The following is a 6,925-nucleotide window of genomic DNA, read 5'->3' on the forward strand; positions in this document are numbered from 1 at the left end:
TTAGATTCTGCTACAGGATGTGGACCGTGGGAGGGGAGACGCGTGCAAATTTAGATTCCGCTGCAGGATGTGGACAGTGGGAGGGGAGACGCGTGCAAATTTAGATTGCGCTGCAGGATGTGGACCGTGGGAGAGGAGACGCATGCAAATTTAGATTCCGCTGCAGGATGTGGACAGTGGGAGGGGAGACGCGTGCAAATTTAGATTCCGCTGCAGGATGTGGACCGTGGGAGAGGAGACGCGTGCAAATTTAGATTCCGCTGCAGGATGTGGACAGTGGGAGGGGAGACGCGTGCAAATTTAGATTCTGCTACAGGATGTGGACAGTCGGAGGGGAGACGCGTGCAAATTTAGATTCTGCTACGCGATGTGGACCGTGGGAGGGGAGATGCATGGACGTGGATGGGGATTTGTGGAAACTCTCTGGATTTTGTGTTCAATTTTACTGTGAACCTAAAACTGCTCTAAAAAATAAAGTTTATTTAAAATATCTTGAAGACTATTTTTATTCATTTCAAAGTTTTATAACGAGTGTGTTCAAAATTACTGGTGTAATTAAAATAAATCTGTATCTCCATGTTTTAATCTTACATTGTCATTCCCTTTGACGGATCCTCCAGATACTCTAATATCCCATCTTACCTGCTTACAGCCACTGTCTCCCTCTCCCTGCCTCCATCTTTCTCCCTCTTCCTTTTATTTTTTCTCCTTCCTTCTCTACCCCTCAGTTTTCCTTCTTTTGGATTCTTATGCTGTGAACAGTAGACATTTTTTAAATTACCGTAAGTATTGAGGGCATATGACACAAACTTATGGTGGAATTAGGGCAGCCGAGCACAGTGTCTCTGCATTCACAGAACTGGGTCTTAGTTCGGGCCTCAGGCAGGACTGGGTCTGAGTTCAGGAAACTATCGTCAGATAAAACCAAGTGTCTGGCTCTGTGATTGCCAGTCTGGTGACTCAACTTTCTGTCTCTATCTGCTCTTATAATCACAAGACCCACTACTTCTCTTTGCTTGCCTGACATTTAGACTAGTTTTAATAAAGTCCATTTGACCCTACTAATTACCAGGAAAATAAAACATGCCTTTGGGCACACACACCTCACATGAGCCCCTGTACTAGCCAATTAATGTGTAAAAGCTCTACCAAATGGTGTCTTTTCTTGGTCTATTAACCAATTATACAAATATCCCTCCTCTAACAGTCTTGATAGAGATTCAATCTAGATCCAAATTCTATGAAGTTCACGTGTATTAGTTTACCAGTCCACTTCAGTTATCTGCTAAAGCCTTTGCGTTGTCCAGTTTTCTAGTTTTAAACGATCAGAGGAGACCGTCCGGTAGATGAGACACTTTGGTAATATGTGGTAGTAGCACCAAAGGCCATCTGTAGAGAAAAATCATGAAATTCTTTAATTACTTTGAATTCTGTATAAAAAATAGAAATATAAAAATAGTTTCTGTGATTTAAAATTGCTATTAAATAAAGACTTGTCATATGCTTTTTAAAAAATTGTCCTTTTTAGGCAGAGAAGTAGTGCATGAGTTGGCAATTATTTAACTTATTGGTATAGATACATCTATATTTATACTTATATGTATTTGTGTAGTGTGTGTACTTGTATGTGTATACATAAAAGAACACTAATGACTAAATATTGAACTTGATGACTTACATTGGAAACCCCGAGAAAGAAGGATGTCTTATTTGCGTCACGTACTACGCCATAGCACACACTTAGTACTCAGAAAGTTAAATAATAATAATAACCATTGTGTAATAAAAATGGTCACGGGGACAAACTGGTAGAGGGAGAATGAAGTCCAGTAATAATAACTGATACAATACTAGTCTCCAGAAGAACATGTAATTTTTCATCTCTTTTACCCCCAAGATACTCTTAGAATTATTCAGGTGAAGTCTGACTCACAGAACTCCCAGCATATACAAATGCAAGAATTTATAGTCCAAGTTTGTTGTAAGTAATGGATCAGTGCACATCTGGGAGAAAAGCATAAAAGAACAGTCAGATTGAGGTGTTTTATTTTTCATTCAATCTCATTTATTTGAACATTTATTAAATCTGCAGTGGGTGGTTAACTCATACTGTGGATGTCTCCAAGCCCTCAGGAGAGTGTTCATCCAAGAGACAGAGAGAGCCCCTGAGGGTCTATTTGGCAGAGACTGACAAAGAGACGAAAATATTTGAAAACATGCTATCTTCTCCAGACATTTGTCTGTACATTTGTATAACAGCTGTGGGTGAGACTTTTTCCCACTACTCAATGTTCTTTTCTCCCAAGCTGAGTGTAATTTTAAATATCTACACACACTGTGAATAGACATAGGGCATCACCTAAATTCAAATAACAGTCTCTAGTCAGTGATGGTTTATGTGTAACCTAAACACTTTCTGGCCAAACTGGGGAGGGAGGGAAGGAAGGAAGGAAGGCAAGCTGTTAAAATGATGGTTTATGTGTAACCTAACACTTTCTGGCCAAACTGGGGAAGGAGGGAGGGAGGGCGGGCAGCCAGGCTGGCTGGCTGTTACAATGATGGTTTATGTGTAACCTAAACACTTCCTGGCCAAACTGTGGGGGCGGGGGTAGGGAGGGAGGGAGGGAGGGACGGAAGGAAGGAAGGAAGGAAGGAAGGAAGGAAGGAAGGAAGGAAGGAAGGAAGGAAGGAAGGAAGGAAGGAAGGAAGATTGTTACAGTGATGGTTTATGTGTAACCTAAACACTTTCTGGCTAAACTGGGGAGGGAGGGAGGGACGGAGGGAGGGAAGGAAGGAAGGAAGACTGTTACACTAGAGATTTCAAAATAAAATTTAGGGGAGAGTAGTAGTACATAAACTATTAATAACCAATATGTTATAATAATTTAACTAAAATGAACAAAATTCCTATTATGGTATCTATGAACATGCTTTCTTAGAGTAAAATATTCTCATATCTTGGTAGGGCACTGGTTAAAAACAGCAAGGATTTAGAAGTCGAAGTCTTATCAAGTAAGTAGCAGACCCGTCTTCAGACCCTTTACAGAGTTATCCAAAAAGCAGTCATTGAAACAAGAGCAGATAATTTTTCTAGCTTTCTATTAAGTTTAGATGTTAATGTTACTACACAATTTAACTTTCTTATAAAATTACCTGATAAAGTTTTATACAATATTATGATATAGTATATCAAAATTTATTTATATGTCAAATTTTACATGATATTGGAGACGCATGGATTGATGATGCGTATATGATGATTTTATGATAAGTTCCACTTAAATTCAGACAATTTCATTAGGCAGTGTCTGTCGACCACTAATTTTTTTTTTTGGTTCCACTATTTGCACAGACAGCACAGCTGGGAAAACAGATTCACCCGACACAGTATCTTCCCCGCGTCTTTCTCCTCCTCAGGGAATCAGTTCATCAGTCAATCAAGTCATTTGGGACTGGAGGCTGAGTACTCCCTAACGTAGAAGGTCTCATTCCTGCATGCTTTCTTCAGCAGAGGGGGAGACGAGAAGGTCCTTTTAGGGGACACTTGCTGGGACATGCACTAACCCTTCTACAGTTGGAGGGCTCCCACCTGCAGAGGCAGACTCTGCCGCAGTAGGAAGGGATGAGGCAGCTATTCTGAACCTGGAGCTCCACCACACCTTGCCCCGTCTCACTGAGGCAGTTTTGAGAGGCTGCCCTGGAATACGTCTTGCTGGTGGATGTTGGGAAACAACGTGGGCTTTGATGGGATTCAGGTGGTGTCCGCAGTGTGAAGACAGGAGCTGATGCTCAGCATTTAGGCTGTTTTTCTTGTGATCAGTTGGGTTACCTGTTTGGGACCAAGTCCATCTTTACTAGGGAGGCTGGGTAAATTCCACAGAACACAGTGGCGCTCCCAGGATGACTGAGGCAGGGTGAGAAAGGGGGAAAGTTTTTCCACCTACACTTTTTGCTACCTCAGGAAATAGGGGCTGATTAGGTTACATCTGGCTCTTATCTAATCAATTCGATTTTGGTGCATTTGATCTAATTATCTTCCCCATTTTTTAGGTAGGAAGGGCCATTTTATTTGGTATTTACTTTTTCTCTGCAGTTTTATTTCATCATATATGTATGGATCTAATACAGTCAACCATATCTTGATATTTGTTGTTTCCAAGCATTTGAGAAATTATAATATCTATGTATATAATTTTAACCCTATAATAAATTATCTTCTGTGCAAAATATGTAACATATATCAATATAGGTATGTTTAATTCTGCATCTTGAAAGGTGAACAGGATCATAAATCCTTCCAGGTAGGAACTGGGACAGAAATCGGAAGAAATAATTCCCCAATCTTCTGATCCCTGTGCTCCCAGTTCTTTGTTTCTTGTCACTATGACAGGATCCTGAAAATGTCTCCCCTTAACTGTGTCTAGGTCCCCAGTAGAACTACAGCAAGAAACTTTTCTTATTGGGGCTCTAATGAGTGGCAGGAAAGAGAAACCTGTTCAGCCAATAAGAGTAAGCCACGCCCAGCCAAGGGACCTATAAAAGGCAGGTCCAGCCGATAAACCCACACTCTGCATTTGGACGTGTAAGATAGTAGAGAAGGGTCTCTACAATTTAAGTAGCAGAGGGATAAGACAGCGCACCTTTCACTTGAGCTTCAACATGGGAAAGGGAAACGAAGACCCCTATCTCCACTGCTCCTCCATCCAATGTTCCACTGACCAGCCCCCTTTCCAACAGATCTCCTTTACAGGAAAGGGCTCAGATGAGAAGAAACCGTTCAAAGGAAAAGGCAAGACCGCCTCTTCCCATTCCAGTGAGAAGCACATACAAAGGCAAGGTAAGGCCTTGGGCTGCTCCTATGGAGGCTGGAAGGAGGGTTGGAATCAGGGATACTGAGCTATGTGTCTTTGGTAGGGTTTTGTTTTGAGATTGGGGATGGGAAATGGCTTAGCGCCCTCAGGGGACTTTGAGAAACGTGTTCACTCATGACGCTGGCAAAAGAGCTTCACTTGAAAGACAGATCCGCAAAAATGCATCAGAGATAGAATATGGGACCCTGCCTAGGGAGAGGTGAGTCACCTAAGCTTTCTTTTGCAGTAGGATTAGAGCCAAATCCAAAAATCCAAAAGAGGAGGAGAAGTCCCAGGAGACCAAGCCCAAAGCCAGAAACAGCACTGCTAGATTAGGTAAGATTTGACTCTTTGAAGGTGAGAAGGGACAGGGCAACAACACAGGCTTTCCTGGCAAGGAAACTGGGAGCTCCTTGGCAGCCAGGGCCATACAGATCCTGGACACTGCAGAACAGAAGAGAGCTGGGGTTTGGTGGCAACCTGAGCTCCTGCGTGTCCAGGATGGACTAGGAATTTCAGGGTATTCAGTTGGAGGCACTATTTCAAACTCTCATTGGATTCAAAGAACCAGAGTCCAGCTCATATTGGGGAAACTTCACGAAAAGAAAAATCAGTTCCAAGGACAGCTGCCAAGACAGAGCAGGTATAATCTTGGTGTTTTTTCTTGGTAATGGTGGTGTTTTTGTTGTTTGTTTGTTTTTTTTTTGTGGCCCCAAAGGGCAAATAATCAGGAAACTTTTATACATGTCTTCAGCAGGAAGGGAGTTTCTTAGTGACAAGTAAATTTTTGAGATCTTAGCTCTGAGAATATTTGGGGACTCACAAGGGGTTCAGCCTCACTTCATTCCAGTGCTGAGATGGTCAGGAAGGAGTGGGAGAGACAAGTGGGGTTCACCTGGGTGCACAAGAGGTTCTGGAAATGAGGGTCTGTGGGGACTGCTCTGACGAGTCTCTCACATGCATTCTCTGCAGGGAACTGTCCAGAAGAGGAACGCAGCTTGATGTTAAAAAAAAAAAAAAAATCAAAGTCCTCCACTGCTGTGCACTACAGTGAAATCCAGGAGATCTGTGATGCCCACCATAAGGGACATTCGAGGGCTTGCACTGGGCACAGCCAGTGGCACAGGTCTGGGGCCCTAGGATTCCAATGACCGGCACTTGGAAAAAGCTTGGTGACCTCTGTTGGAGCTATGCTGGAGGCTACTTATCAAGACCTAGCCCAGGTGTGGGCACAGCAGGTCCATTTTCCACTGACCTGAGAGCAGCTCACATTGCTGACTTGGATCTGGGGGCCTCTGTGTGCCCAGGTGCAGACCTTCTATGCCATTGCCACCCAGGGAGCTTAAGTCTTACCTGCTGAGGGTTGGCTTGTCTCAGCCACACTGTCTGGTCCTGGGGATAGAGGCCTGAATAGAGAAGCTCACCCTTTTTTGGGCATGATGTAACTGAGCATGTCAGTGGATCAGATGAGGCTTGAGCTGAGAGGACCCTGGCCCTATTCAGCAGAGGATGCAGCTCTGGGAATGAGAACAAGGACCTGCTACTGCTCAGATTTTTCTAGATGACCAGCAGTGACAATATTAGATGCACTGTGTTAATAAATGACAGAACATGAAGAAATCATAGGAAATAAATTTGAACAATATAATCAGAATGGTAAGCTTTTTTGTAAAAGGCCGATGCTATAGACAAATTTTATATTTCATGTTAGATATGGAGGTCTGGTGACAGTCATGCATTTCTATGTAATCAGGAAAATATTAGAATGTGATCATATGAGTTTGCATATTTTAGATTGTAGAAAAGAAATGTTACCCAGGCTGGAATGCAGTGACACAATCTTAGCTCACTGCAACCTCCGCTTCCTGGGTTCAAACAATTCTCATGCCTCAGCCTCTCAAGTAGCTGGGACTACAGGCATATACCACCATGCCTGGCTATTTTTGTTTTTTTTTTTTTTTTGTATTATTAGTACAGACAGAGTTTTGTCACGTTGGCCAGGTTGGTCTCGAACTCAAGTGATACGCCAGCCTTGACCTCCTAAAGTGCTGGGATTACAGGCATGAACCGCCTTA

At 42.8% G+C, this 6,925-nt stretch overlaps 1 pseudogene; it reads left to right on the forward strand.

The window, feature by feature from the left end:
- On the forward strand, nt 4,564-6,611 carry FRG2FP (FSHD region gene 2 family member F, pseudogene; annotated as a pseudogene).
- The last annotated feature ends 314 nt before the right edge of the window (nt 6,612-6,925 follow it).

This window comes from Homo sapiens, chromosome 3 (assembly GCF_000001405.40).
Source record: "Homo sapiens chromosome 3, GRCh38.p14 Primary Assembly".
In the NCBI taxonomy this organism is placed as follows: domain Eukaryota; kingdom Metazoa; phylum Chordata; class Mammalia; order Primates; family Hominidae; genus Homo; species Homo sapiens.